Here is a 14,241-nt window from a genome sequence, read left to right as displayed (position 1 = left end):
GGGGGGGCGGGGGGTGAAGGGACATCACTTTGCCCACCTGGAGAGCAGCTTAACATAAGAATAGCCCTCGACTAGTACGAAGCTGCTCCAGTCCCGCAGCAGAGAGGTCAGGGAGGAGTGGGAGATCCTGCACTGGATAGTGCTGTAGCGCCCATTGCTGCCCGGGGTGTGCAAGTGCTTGGGGATTGGTCTAGGAAGAGGGGTGTGGACTGAGGTTAGACCTCCAGGCCCCAGGCTTGGAGAAAAGGAATAGACTACTATCACTCTCTTCTAGGCCTTGCCTGAGGTTATGGGGACTGAAGAGCAGGGAGGCAAGGAAAAGGCTATAGTTTTTCCTTGGCCACAGTTGGTAAGAGCTCATCTGCTGCTCCCCTTCCCATCATTCCCTATCCCCCTGACCCCGATACTCCACCCCAACTATGGCCCAGCCCTAAGGGCACCCACGTGTCATGCTCCAGGATTAGCACCAGGCGATGCATGTGCAGCCATCGCTGCCAGGAATTTGCATCCATGGACAGCACTGGCTTCCAGTAGGCAGCAAACTGGGCATGGGATGAGTCAGAACCACTGGGCTGGAGGGAGAGCACCTGAGGACAGGAAGGACAGCACTATAGGAGCATTTGCAGAGGACCAGGGTACAAACTCCAAAGAGCAAACAAAACCATGGGTGGACTCCGTTCAGAGAGTCAGAGACAGCAGTGGTTTGAGGCTACAGCCCAGCCTGAAGCACAGGCAAAAACTGTTTCCACTATGAAGGCTAGATTTGGATGACTGAGCCCAGGGACAGACTGTGTAGCCCTTTAAAGCTGAATCCAGAAGGATGGAACCATAAGCCCAGCTTATGTCACCGACTTGGGAGAAAAGCCCCTAAATGGTGGCAGGACCTCATGATGTGGCCACTGCACACTAGCATAAGCCACCTTCCCATCAGTGTTAGGCTGACAGCGTGGACTGAGTGTGAAGACAGCACAGGACCAAGGAAGCTGTAGTCTTCAGGGAGTACACAGTTCATGGTGGCTGGTGGTGGATGCACACAGGTGAAGGCGGCTGGGGAAGCCCAGAGTATGTCACGTGGAGATGGGGCAAGGGCTCACGGTCTGCTGGGACTGGGATACCACCACCTAGACACTGTGTGAGTCTTTGCCTCTGCCACCTGTGCTCTGTTCAGGACAGCCTGTCTGTATAGATCCTCCTCTTCCCCGGGGCCTTAGGGAGAAGAGAAGCTCTCAAGGTTAAAGCTTGGGCTTCTGGCTTAGGTGCCTTAGACGTGAGACAGAAAGGAATAGAAGGTGGTGGTCCTGGGCTCCAGATGCTGTGCAACCCAAGTTGACATGAAATGGGGCTACTATACTTCAGAGCTACTCACCGGGGTGGTGGAGCCTGGAGGGATGTAGAAGAGTGGCACTCCGCTCTTGGTGCTGTCAGGAAGCGTGAAATGCTCAGGCACTGAGGAGAAGGACTGAAGGTGGGCAAGCATCTGGTCTGTCTGGTTGATGCTGTAGAATAAGGGCCAGGCCTGAGCCATATCTGACTCTGCTGGGTGCAGATGAGGGGAGCCTTAGGGGGACATGGGACCCTGGATATAAGCCTGGTTCTCTGGGTGATGCTCCCCAGCTCCCGCCTTTGCAAATCTGTCCCTCCATACAACAAATGGGGCAGCACTCATTGAGTGATGACTTCACTGACCTCTGCAGCGTGTTCCAGAAACGCCGGATAACATGGGTACGATACAATGAACGAATGGGCTGCCTTAGTGCACAGGACACATCATGCAAAATGTCGTAGCCGCCTTCCATCGTCACTTCCACCCGTGTTACTCGAGGGCCCTCAGGCTCCAGGGGCCAGGGTGCCATAGCCACATACTCAATGCGCATGTTGTGTTTCCACAGCAGCACCAGCTTTACCTCCAATTGGGACCCTCCTTAGGGAGAAGCGGAAGGGCCAGTTAGGAGAAGGCATAGGACTCTAGGCCTGGGATCGAGTTCTATCTGAAACCCCCACCTACCTCATGGAACCCAGTCCTGCCAAAGGTTCCAAGCATGGTTCCACAGGTTTCAGGCCCAGAGTTGGCCCACTGACACAAACACAAGTTTGTAGAAACAATCTGAAAACTAAGCCAAGTTCAGGACCCTATACCACCCTCAGCTGGTTCACCTTGGGCAAAAGGAGATAGAATTGGGAAGCTCCATGCTAAGAGAATTAAGCCCTGATGACAATTCAAAACCCACTGTCTCAAGTGATAAGGACTTCAATGTGACACTCTTTCATGTGTGATACATGTGGGTCTTCCCACACACAAATTCTTGAGAGATCTATGGGATTACAGCAGGGCCTAATGACCCTTACCTTTGGCCAGTGTGACCTCTCGGACACTGTAGCCCTCTCGAAGCCGTACGGACACAGTGCTGACCAAGTCGGCTGGCACCTCCTTCTCAGTGTGCTTCTTCCGGCGCAAGGCCAGGGCAGGGTTGCTGCTTGCAGAGACCAGGTGCTCATTAAATAGGCGGTGCTGAGAGCCTGGAAGACCAGTGGAGATGGGGAAGGAGAAACTGGTTATCTGCCAACTGACAGATCTGTAGGGGGAAGGGGCTATGCTGAAATGACTGTGAGGTAACAGTGCCAGCAGAGCCAGCCCCAGTTACACTTTCAGTCCTCCAGGGCCCCATCATCTCTGGGCCCATTCTATATTCCCTCCTTCCCACACCCACCTCAGTGTGCCTCTCACCGCAGTAATATTCAGGGTTCAGTGCTTCCCCACTGCGCAGGAAGGAATAGAGGAGAAATGCCCGGTGGTAGACAGTCAGACCCAGGTTGCCTGGCTCCGGCTCAGGACAAGTGGACAGGTAGGACCCAAATGTTGCCATTGCGATGAACTTCATTAATTCCACATTGGGCACATGGCCAAAACTGCAGTCATAAGAGTAAACTCCTCCCACCTGGAAAAAGTGAGCAACTGAAGACCTAGCTCTGACAGAGGCATAGGAGAAGGAAGAACAGGAGAGAAAGAGACTGGGCTAGGTGGCTGCTCCCATTCCCTGGACCACAGAGTGGGAAGTAGGCCAGTGTTTTCCCAGGACAGACCACTGTCTGTGTCTTTCCTTCCTTAAGCCCTTCTGTCTGATGCCCATGCTAACCGGCCACAGCATCCTCTTTGCTTCCTCCTCGATACCTAAAGGCCCACCACCTCCTTCACTAAAGATTTTGGCAACTGGTTCACTGACTTCCTGTCATCATCCTGAGAGACTTCAGCTTACCAACACTTCTCAAACTTTAGGGTGTATGAAAAACACCTGGGGATTTTGTTAAAATGCAGTAGGTCTGGGGTGGGGCCTGAGATTCTGCATTTCAAACAAGCTTTCTGCTGGTCTGTGGACTACATTTTGAATACAATAGCTGTAGGTGGGAAATTAGCAAACTACATATACCCTGAGGGCCAAATCTAGTCCATCACCTATTTTTGTGAATCGAGTTTTATTGGAACACAGCCACACACATTCATTTTGTATTGTCTGTGGCTGCTTTCACGCTTCAACAGCAGAGCTGAGTAGCTGTGACGGACCAAGTGGCCCACAAGGCTTAAAGACTGACTGGCCTTTGCAGAAAGTGTTTGCAGACCTGCTCCAGATTACTCATTCAAGTCCCTGCCCTCTCAGTTCCTTAACTCTCATCTCCAGTAACTTACTCTATTCCATTCACCTGCCTATAGGCTACACGCTGGCTCTTGGCTTCATGTGGAACAAATTCATCTTTGCAATTTCAAATTGCCATAACCCACTGATTACATACAACACTATTCCCTTAGCTTCCTCCCACCCTCCTCCTGCTGCTGCTCTTTGACCTCACTGAGACTGCCAGGCCTTGAACCTCTGCTCTCTCCAAATCTATCCACATTGTCCTGACCCTCCTTTCTCGACCCAGCTTGGACCCTACATTCAGACAACTTCATAAGCATCGCTCTCAAATCCCTGGCCCTCTTCACTCTCATCTGCTTCTTCGAAACCCCAACTACGATCATAGCCTCTATTCTTGGCCAGTGGTGCCCAGAGAAAACTGACAGTTGTGTAGGTTGGCACCACATCAAAACATATGACACCCAACTCAGCTAGTCCTTCAGGGCAGTCCTTAATACTGTTCCTTCTTCCCAACTCTGGCCTCTTCCTTACAGTACTCAGCTTCACCTTTTACTTCAGAGAGAAATCGGAGGCCCTTCGCAGACATCTTCACTTCTTTCTATTTTCAAAGAAAGAAACGACACTTCCCTGCTCCAAAAGAATCCCTCAATCTGTTTCTTAAGACAATGCCCTCCTGTCAATTTAGGGACTTTACTCCACCAGCCTCCTTTTTCCTTCCTTTATTTTCAAACTCTTCTTCACTACAGATCCTTAGAAACATGCTTAAGTCTCTAGCTTTAAAAACAAAACACAACACTCCTTTACCCTGTACTTCCCTCTGGTTACCATTCTCTCTCTTGCTCTGCTGTTTATCTCAACAGCCAAATTTCTTTTGTCAACACTTGTCCCTATTTCCTTCCTTCTATCCACTCTTCAATCCCCTCACCACCTCTTCACTAAAATGGCTCTGAAAAAGATCCCCGTGACCTCCTAATCACCAAATCCAAAGGGCACTTTTCATTCCTCATTTTACTTGATCTTTTTGCTACTTCTCACAGTGTAGTTACCATTGTGAGAAGCAGCAGAAAGATCCAGTAAAATTTTCTTCCAAAAATTCTGACCTTCTCTGACATCACAATCTTCTGGTTCCTGGCTGATTCTTCATTCCTTGCTGGGCCCTCTTCCTATGAAAGACCTTGAACACTGGTGTTCCCCAAAGTTCTTCCAGGACCCTCTTCTGTTCTCAATTACCATCTGTACCCTGATAAATCTTAAATCTCTACCTCTCAAGCAGTGTTTGTCTCCTGAATATCAGGATCTGTGTATTCAACTGCTACCTGCTACAAATAGCAGCCATTTCTTAAGTGATTACGTACAATGCTACATACTTTAAATGCATCTCACCTCCCAGTGAGATAAGTACTTTTACAATCTCCATTTACAAATGAATCTGACCTAGAGGTGAAGTGATGTGCCCAATGTCACACAGTTAGTAAGTGCAGTCAGGATTTAGACCAGCATGCCTAACTCCAAAGGTGATGTTCTTAACTGTCTGTGTTGAACCACAGGCACCTCGAACACAACATACACAAACTTGCATTCATCATCTTATCCTCACTCTACCACAACTGCTTCTCTTCCTTTTGCTCTGCTGCTACCCAGTCATCACTGGAGTCAAAAACTTGGAGACAACTTTAAGCCCGCTTCTCTCTCATCTCCTTACCCCCATCTTGCTAATCATGAAGTCAGGTTGACTCTGCCTCTTCATTTTTCTCAATCCTCTTACCCCTAATTTAAGCCCTGATCCTCTCTCACTGCAATTAGTAGCCTCCCCGACTTCCCCCGTCCTTCACCCAGCAGCAAGAGTGACCTTTATAAAACATAAACCCAACTAATGACTTTCCTTCTATCTATCTGCATCACCCACAGAATCATGCTTAACCTCATTAATAAAGCAGAACCAGATTTTCATGTTCTGGCCTGTGCCTACCCCTTCAGCCTTGTTTCCCATAGCTTTTTACCTCCTTCCCTACAGTCCATCAATCCAAATTAGCTGCAGTCCCTGGCTATGCCTTTTCCCCCTTTGGTTAAGCTAGTTTGAGCGGGGTTTTCTGACCCTTGCACTCAAAACAATAATGACTAATCTACAAGGGGAGGTGGGACTGGAAATGACTGTCAGATTTCAAATTCTGCATTCTTTTTGCTTTAACAGCTATTTCCAAAATCCTAAGGAAAGAGGAAAAAAATAAGAGTCCTCTCCCACGATGCTACCTACCTTCTAGATATGACTCCTTCCCCCCATGTAACTAAGTAATTGACTTTATCTGGGAAATCACTGCCTGTAAGAAAGTAATCAGCCATCCCAACTTTGTGTGAGATATTCCATATCTCTCTCGTCCTTCCTAAAAAGTCCTCACCTGGACAAAGGAACAAGCCACAGTGCCACTGCGAAGCTGGTTCAGCAGTGTCTCACAGACAGCAACATCAGGTACACTGGTCACCCCATCCGTGATCACGATAATCCCTGGAGCAGGAAACACCAGATCAGACCTGGAGACACTGGCCAGACCAAACTCACAGGGAGGCACCCAACTGACAGGGTCCTGAACGGCTCAGTGTCTTCCCACCAATGTCGGCAGTTTCATAAACTGTGAAGTTTTATAAACTTCAAACACCTTTCCTTCTCCCTTACCCTCCTGCTTCTTCCTCTTGAATGCCAGATCATAACCTCCCCTAAGTGATATCCTTGGAGCTCTACTCCTTCTAGGGTCTCTGATGGTTGTCAGAGTCGAGGGTTCCTGATACACACTAATACAGACTTACATTTTGCAAACAAGGAAACAGATCCTCTTCCCTGGGGCCCACTGATTCCCTGGAACTGCTATCTTTGTTAGCAGTCAGCCCCACCCTTCCTGTATCCCTGCTTCCCCAGTCCCACCAATATTCCTTCTACTGACCTGCACTAGAGTTCGAGGGTAGTAACTGCAGTGCCAAGATGCCCTGACGAATCATACTGACCAGCCCAAGATCAGCTGTCACCATGGAGACGCCTACCTTCCGGCCCAGTAGGTCCCCTGAGTCTGGGGACTGGTCTTCTGCCTGCCCCAAGTTACAGAAAAGACAGAATGGGGCAGATGGCATTGCTGCCCCATCCATAGCAAAGCCAGAATTTATAGCCCAGCACTTCTCAGGCCAGACAGGCCGAATCCTGTGAGAACCTCAATTCCCCTACTATGCGGCTGAGTCTTGACTGTGCTTCCTCCCTGTGTGTGCTCAGATACTGAACCTCAGAGGTGAAGGGAGTTCGGCATCAGATGAAGCTTCAGACTGTACTGAAGTAGGGCTTCTCCATCTTTTGCCAAGAAGGGCCCCTTTCCACATTTTTCCATCACTGTTATGAAATATTTTATACCTCAATCAAATTACATGACCAGTCATCAGGCACACAGGACTGCCATTTGCCTGGCTACTTCTGGGGTACCCAAAGTGATGAGACAGGGAAGTCTAGTGGGCCTAGGCAGCTTTATCCCTGATTGTACAAAATGCTAACTAGAGGTCAAAGCCACGCATAATCACCTTCTCAGATCCACTGGAGGAGATCTGGGGCTAAAAAAAAATGCAAACAAATGGATTTCACATTTTTTCCCTGAAAGAATCTGTGTTTTGGGGAGTATATCTGAGTCCTGCTCCAACAGGGAGTGTGTCATGAGCATGCCTATCCTTGTCTCATTTTGCCCCAGCTCTTAGCCCTTTTTTGCCCTATTTGGACTATCCCTCCTCTCTGCCCTCTGTCCTTAGCTGCTCCTCTTTCTAAGTTGCCTCTGCCCACTTTCTCTCTTACATACCTGGCTCTGGGGATCGTACTGCTGCTGCAGCATGGTGGCCACCTTATCCTCAAAGAGGCAGAGCTGCTCATATATCTGCTGCAGGAACACCTCCCGCTGGGAAGGGTCCAAGAGGCAGCCCTGTACCAGCACCTAAGAAGCACATGGGAAAGACTGAGACAGGACGGTCAGGGTGGCACAGACCACTACACTTCTGCTCTGTTTATTCTCCATAGCTCCATCTAGGCGATCCTGACTTCCTACCCAACCAGGGTCTAAGGTATGACTCCACAGCCAATTTCCCCCTTATCCAATCTCCATCAGTCCTCAGCCCAGGTCCCTAGTCATTAGTCATCTTTATCTGGGGTCACAACTTCCCTCTGCTTAGGGTCCTCCACACTGGGCTTCCCCAACCCCCCACATGGGGGCACTATAAGATCTTCTATTAATAGCTTCTTCTACCTTGGCCTACAGGATGTCTTATGAGCTGCCCCTCCTCAGCCCGGCAAAGCCTTTTTTATTCTCATACTTTTTAATGCTTTTTTATTTCTAAGCATACTGACCAGCCCAAGATCAGCTGTCACCATGGAGACTCCTACCTTCTGTACACACAGAGGCTATTCTGGACCTTTTCAATTTTACAAAAATTAGCTGTGCATGGTGGTGGGCACCTGTAATCCCAGCTACTTGGGAGGCAAGAGAATTGCTTAACTGGGACCTGGAAGGCAGAGGTTGCAGTGAGCAGAGATCACGCCACTGCACTCCAGCCTGGGCTACAGAGTGAGACTGTATAAAAAAAAATTTTTTTTTAAAAATTTTTGTGGGTACATAGAAGGTGTATATATTTATGGAGCACATGAGATATTTTGATACAGGAATACAATGTATAACAATTAAATCATGGTAAATGGGGTATCCACCACTTCAAGTTTTTTTTGTTTGTTTGTTTGTTTTTTTGAGACAGAGCCTTGCTCTGTCGCCCAGGCTAGAGTGCAGGTGCGATCTTGGCTCACTGCAACCTCCGCCTCCCGGGTTCAAGCAATTCTTGTGCCTCAGCCTTCCTCAGCTGGGATTACAGGCATGGGCCACCACACCCAGGTAATTTTTGTATTTTTAGTAGAGACGGGGTTTCACCATGTTGGCCAGGCTGGTCTCAAACTCCTGGCCTCAAGTGATCCACCCACCTCAGCCTCCCAAAGTGCTGGGATTACAGGCATGAGTCACCATGCCTACCCACCTCAGGCATTTATCCTATTTTTTGTGTTACAAACAATCCAATTTTACTCTTTTAGTTATTTTTAAATGTACAATAAATTACTGTTGACTGTAGTCAGTCTACTGTGCTATCAAGTACTAGATCTTATTCATTCTTTCTAACTCTATTTTTGTACCCATTAACCATCTCCCCTTCCACCTCCCCCAGCTACCCTTCCCAGCCTTTGGTAACCATCGTTCCACTCTCCATCTTCATTAGTTCAATTGTTTTAATTTTTAGCTCTCACAAATAAATAACATGCCAAGTTTGTCTTTCTGTGCCTGGCTTATTTCACTTAACATAATGTCCTCCAGTTCCATCCATGTTGTTGCAAATGACAGGATCTCATTCTTTTTTATGGCTGAATAGTATTCCATTGTATATATGTACCACATTTTCTTTATCCATTCATCTGTCAATGAACACTCAGGCTGCTTCCAGATCTTGTCTATTGTGAATAGTGCTGTAATAAACATGGGAGTGCAGATATCTCTTCCATATACTGATTTCCTTTCTTTTGGGTATACACCTAGGAGGGAGGATTGCTAGATCATATGGTAGCTCTATTTTCAGTTTTGTTTTGTTTTGTTTTTTGTTTGAGATGGAGTCTTGCTCTGTCACCCAGGCTGGAGTGCAGTGACACTATCTCGGCTCACTGCAATCTCTGCCTCCCAGATTCAAGCAATTCTCTGCCTCAGGCTCCCGAGTAGCTGGGATTACAGGCATCTGCCATCACGCTCAGCTAATTTTTGTATTTTTAGTAGAGACAAGGTTTCACCATGTTGGCCAGGCTGGTCTCAAACTCCCACCTCGGCCTCCCAAAGTGCTGGGATTACAGGTATGAGGCACCGTGCCCAGCCTATTTTGTTTTTTGAGGAACCTCCAAACTGTTCTTCATAGTGGTTGTACTAATTTACATTTCTACCAAGAGTGCACAACGTTACCTTTTCTCCACATCCTCACCAGCATGTTATTGCCTGTCTTTTGGATAAAAACCATTTTAACTGGGGTGAAATGATACCTCATTGCAGTTTTCATTTGCATTTCTCTGATGATCAATGATATTGAACACTTTTTCATATACCTGTTTGCCATATGTATGCCTTCTTTTGAGAAATGTCTATTGAGATCTTTTTTAAGATAAAAAAAATCCCATTTTAAAATCAGATTATTGGATTTTTTTTTCTTATAGAGTTGTTTGAGCTCCTTATATATTCTGGTAATTAATCCCTTGTCAGATGGGTGGTTTGCAAATATTTTCTCCCATTCTGTGGTTGTTTCCTCACTTTGTTTATTGTTTCCTTTGCTGTGCAGCTTTTTAACTTGATGTGATCCTATTTGTCCATTTTTGCTTTGCACGCTTGTGCTTGCAGGGTATTATCAATAAATCTTTGAGCCAAGCATAGTGGTTCACATGTGTAATCCCAGCACTTTGGGAGGCCAAGATGGGAAGATCGCTTGAGCCCAGGAGTTAGAGACCAGCTTGGTAGAGACCTCATCTCTACAAAAAAACTAAAAATTAGCTGAGTGGTGAAATGCACCTGTGGTCTCAGCTACTCAGGAGTCTGAGGCAGGAGAATCACTTAAGCCCAAGAGATCAAGGCTGCAGTGAGCTGTGTTCACACCACTGCACTCCAGCCCAGGCAACACAGCGAGACCTTCTATGGAGAACACAGCCAGTACCAGAGTTTATGCAGAGCGTGGGTGAAGCTGTTGATCTCTTTACAATCTGCACAGCCTATTGTGAGTATTTCTGGGCAGGCAGTTCCTCTGCCTGTTTCAGGAGAGGTTTACTGATTTGAGGCTTATATGTTAGGTCTTTGGTTTGGGTCTCATTTTAAGGGTTGTTTGGGGGCTGGGTGGTCGGCCTTACACAGGAAGCGGACAGACAGTGGATGAAGTCGCCGGGTGTGGTGGCTCACGCCTGTAATCCCAGCACTTTGGGAGGCTGAGGCGGGCAAATCATGATGTCAAGAGTTCAAGACCAGCCTGGCCAACATGGTAAAACCCTGTCTCTACTTAAAATACAAAACATTAGCTGGGCGTAGTGGCAGGTGCCTGTAATCCCAGCTACTCGGGAGGCTGAGGCAGGAGAATTGCTTGAACCCGGGAGGCGGAGGTTGCAATGAACCAAGATCATGCCACTGCACTCCACCCGAGGTGACAGAGTGAGACTCTGTCTCAAAAAAAAAAAAAAAAAAAAAAAAAAAGATAGTGGATGAACTTTTCTGCTCTATCTTGTGGGCAGGTGATTTTGCTTTTGTTTTTGTTTTTCATTCTTCCCCCTCCACAAGCCAAAGTCATTTCACTTGGTTTCCACTGTGTGGACAGTGCTGGAGCTCAGCACTTGATGGGGCTGGGTGAGCCCTAGGTTGCAGACATGGCAAAGCAGAGAAACTGTTCTTCTGGTTCCTGCCCAATCTCAAAGGGGCTAAAGCCCTTCCCAGGGAGGAGGGTGTTCAGGAGCCAGACTTTTGGAGAGGAGGCAGTTTCCAGTCTGCTGGGTGACTGTCATTCTGCATGTGTTCCCTGAGCTGGAAAGGGCTGGAAGCTTCATGCATGAACCATGGAGAAGTAGCCATCACCCCTGCCATGGGTAGAGGGCATCCTAACTGGGCCCCCTGGGTCAGGCTAGAGCCAACACTGCCAGCTGCCCCCTCTGGCCTGCTGGCAATGCCACAGGTGCCCAAGAAGATGGGGGATACCTGTGCCAGAAGCCAACCTGGTCTTCCCAAGGGGCAGTGCCCTCCATGAAGACAGAAGTGAGAGAATAAAGTTCCCTGTAGATCCTCTACTTTTGGGTTGTGTTTTTCAAATGCTGACATTTCAGAGGGGATCCTACAGAAACCCAGCTGGCTTCCCCCAAGGACTCCCCCTTTGCTGGGAGTGGATTTCCACATGTGCCTTTGATTTCATATAGATCAGGCTTTACAGTCACCAATTCAGCTGCCAGAGTCCCTGTACTGGGGGTTGGCATTTTCTACAGAAGAGGAATGGCCTCCCTCACCCTGCTCCCCACCCAGGCAGGGCAGCACAGGATCCAGCAACTCAGTGCTATCAAGATCCCCCCCCAACCCCCAATATACCCCACCTCAGAGGCCTTGCCTGGGCAACCTCAAGCCCCCGTTCCTCGCCATACACTGATGCCTGGCAGCTATAGCAAATGACTCATGTTCTTTGTCAAAGGCCTGTAGTGAGATGATTTTGTTTCCTTTGTTTTGTGAGTTTAAAATTGAAATTAGTTATTTCCTTCTGCTTAACAGTATTAAATAGAGCAGGATATTGAGTTAATCTGCTAGATTAGACACAGAAAAGAAATCTTTGCCCAGTCCAGTGTCATGGAGCGTTTCTCCAATGCTTTCTTTTAGTAGTTTCATAGTTTGAGGTCTTAGATTTAAGTCTTTTTTTTTTTTTTTTTTTTTTTTGAGACAGAGTCTTACTCTGTCGGCCAGGCTGGAGTGCAGTGGCGCGATCTTGGCTCACTGCAACCTCTGCTGCCCGGGTTCAAGCGATTCTCCTGCCTCAGCCTCCCGAGTAGCTGAGATTACAGGCACCTGCCACTGCACCCGGCTAGTTTTTTTGTAGTTTTTTAGTAAAGATGGGGTTTCACCATCTTGGCCAGGCTGGTCTTGAACTCCTGACCTCGTGATCCACCTGCCTTGGCCTCCCAAAGTGTTGGGATTACAGGTGTGAGCCACTGCGCCTGGCCAGATTTAAGTCTTTAATCCATTTTGATTTGATTTTTGTGAGATAGGAGTCTAGTTTCATTCTTCTGCATATGAATATCCAGTCTTCCCAGAACCATTTATTGAAGAGACTGTTCTTTCCCCAATGTATGTTCTTGGCATCTGTCAAAAATGAGTTCATTGTAGATATATGGCTTCTGGGTTCTCTATTCTGTTCCATTGGTCTATGTGTCTGTTTTTATGCCAGTACCATGCTGTTTTTGGTTACTATAGCTTTGTAGTATAATCTGAAGTCAGGTAATGTGATTCCTCCAGTTTTGTTTGTTTTGCTCAGAATAGCTTTGGCTATTCTGGGTCTTTTGTGGTTCCATATAAATTTTAGGATTGTTTTCTCTATTTCTATGAAGAATGTCATTGGTATTTTGATAGGAATTGTACTGAATCTGTAGACTGCTTTAGGCAGTGTGGGCATTTTAACAATACTGATTCTTCCAATCCATGAACATGGAATATCATTCCAATTTTTGGAGTCCACTTCAATTTCTCTCATCGATGTTTTATAGTTTTCATTGTAGAGATCTTTCACTTCTTTGGTTAATTCCTAGGTATTTTATTTTAAACTATCGTAAATGGGATTACTTTCTTGATTTCTTCTTCACATTGTCTGCTGCTGACATACAGAAATGCTACTGATTTTCTGTATGTTGATTTTGTATCTTGCAACTTTACTGAATTTGTTTATCAGTTCTAATAGTTTTTTGGTGGAGCCATTAGGTTTTTCCAAATAAAAGATCATATCATCTGCAAACAAGGATAATTTGACTTATTTTCCAGTTTGGATGACCTTTCTTTCTTTCTCTTGTCTGACTATTCTAGGTAGACCTTCACTTTTCTCTCTTTTACGCTCAAAATCCTCTCCTTATCCCCCTAATGAATGCTCCTTCCTTCCCTTTACCCTCAGCAGATAACTCCTGCCCTGTGCCCTCTTCAAAGAGAAAGCAAGTCAGTCAATAGGAACGCCCTGCTTACCCCAAACTGGAGGGTACACTACTCTCTAACTCTCTGAAAGCACCCCCAAAGTCTACTGAAGGTTTACATCTGTGTCTTTGTTCTTCCTTCAAGGTGCTGAAGCAAGGATTCCTCTTCCTTCTCTTTTTCCCTGTAGCTAATCTGTCCATCTAATCTTGAGCCTTTTGTCTCTCTAATATCTTCATTCTTTCTCCATGGGCTCCTTTTCTTCTACTTCAAACATAAATAAGTATCCCCATCCTAAAATTGTATATAGACCCAGCAGTCCCTGCGGTGGCCCTCAGGATCTCACCCCTCTTTCCCCATCACACTCGTACAACCTGCCCCACATGCCCACTTCTCTCGGACCCTGACCCCATGGAACAACTACTTTTTTACTCCCTGTTCCCAACTGGATAAGTGGGTCGGGCGAGCCAGAAAAGGGAAAGTGGGACATTGTCTCACTCTACAGGCCCATGGGAAGGAAAACGAGCAGAACTGGAGCCATAAAAAGGTGAGAAAGATGTTCCTATTCATATTATTTAGAATAATGAAAACTGAGACAACTCAAGTGGCCAAGTAGGGGCTGGCTAAACATATGGTAAGATATGATGAAACAGTAAGTTAACAGGACATTAAAAATCACATTTTCAAAGAATATTTAGTGACACACAAGAATGCCCATACTATATGTTAAAAAAATAAAAAAAAGGCAGGACAGGCTAAGCACAGCAGCTCATGCCTGTAATCCCAGTACTTTGGGAGGCTGAGGTGGGAGGATCACTTGAAGTCAAGAGTTTGAGACCAGCCTGGACAACATAACAAGATCCTGTCTCTACAAAAAAATTTAAAACAAT

At 46.7% G+C, this 14,241-nt stretch overlaps 1 protein-coding gene across 2 annotated transcripts in view; it reads right to left on the bottom strand.

Moving 5' to 3' along the window:
* The window catches only part of SZT2 (SZT2 subunit of KICSTOR complex), a 64,349-nt gene that overhangs the window by 31,578 nt on the left and 18,530 nt on the right, over window positions 1–14,241 (bottom strand). For both annotated transcript variants that reach the window (NM_001365999.1, NM_015284.4), the window contains exons 5-13: window positions 7,457–7,588; window positions 6,569–6,710; window positions 6,029–6,135; window positions 2,726–2,936; window positions 2,347–2,517; window positions 1,687–1,921; window positions 1,367–1,496; window positions 445–587; window positions 38–190 (exon numbers count right to left, since the gene is read on the bottom strand). In NM_001365999.1, the coding sequence (NP_001352928.1) occupies window positions 38–190; window positions 445–587; window positions 1,367–1,496; window positions 1,687–1,921; window positions 2,347–2,517; window positions 2,726–2,936; window positions 6,029–6,135; window positions 6,569–6,710; window positions 7,457–7,588 (1,424 nt within the window). The remainder of the gene's footprint in view (window positions 1–37; window positions 191–444; window positions 588–1,366; window positions 1,497–1,686; window positions 1,922–2,346; window positions 2,518–2,725; window positions 2,937–6,028; window positions 6,136–6,568; window positions 6,711–7,456; window positions 7,589–14,241) is intronic.

This window comes from Homo sapiens, chromosome 1, assembly GCF_000001405.40.
Source record: "Homo sapiens chromosome 1, GRCh38.p14 Primary Assembly".
Taxonomy (NCBI): domain Eukaryota; kingdom Metazoa; phylum Chordata; class Mammalia; order Primates; family Hominidae; genus Homo; species Homo sapiens.
This window is presented reverse-complemented; position numbering and strand designations above follow the sequence as displayed.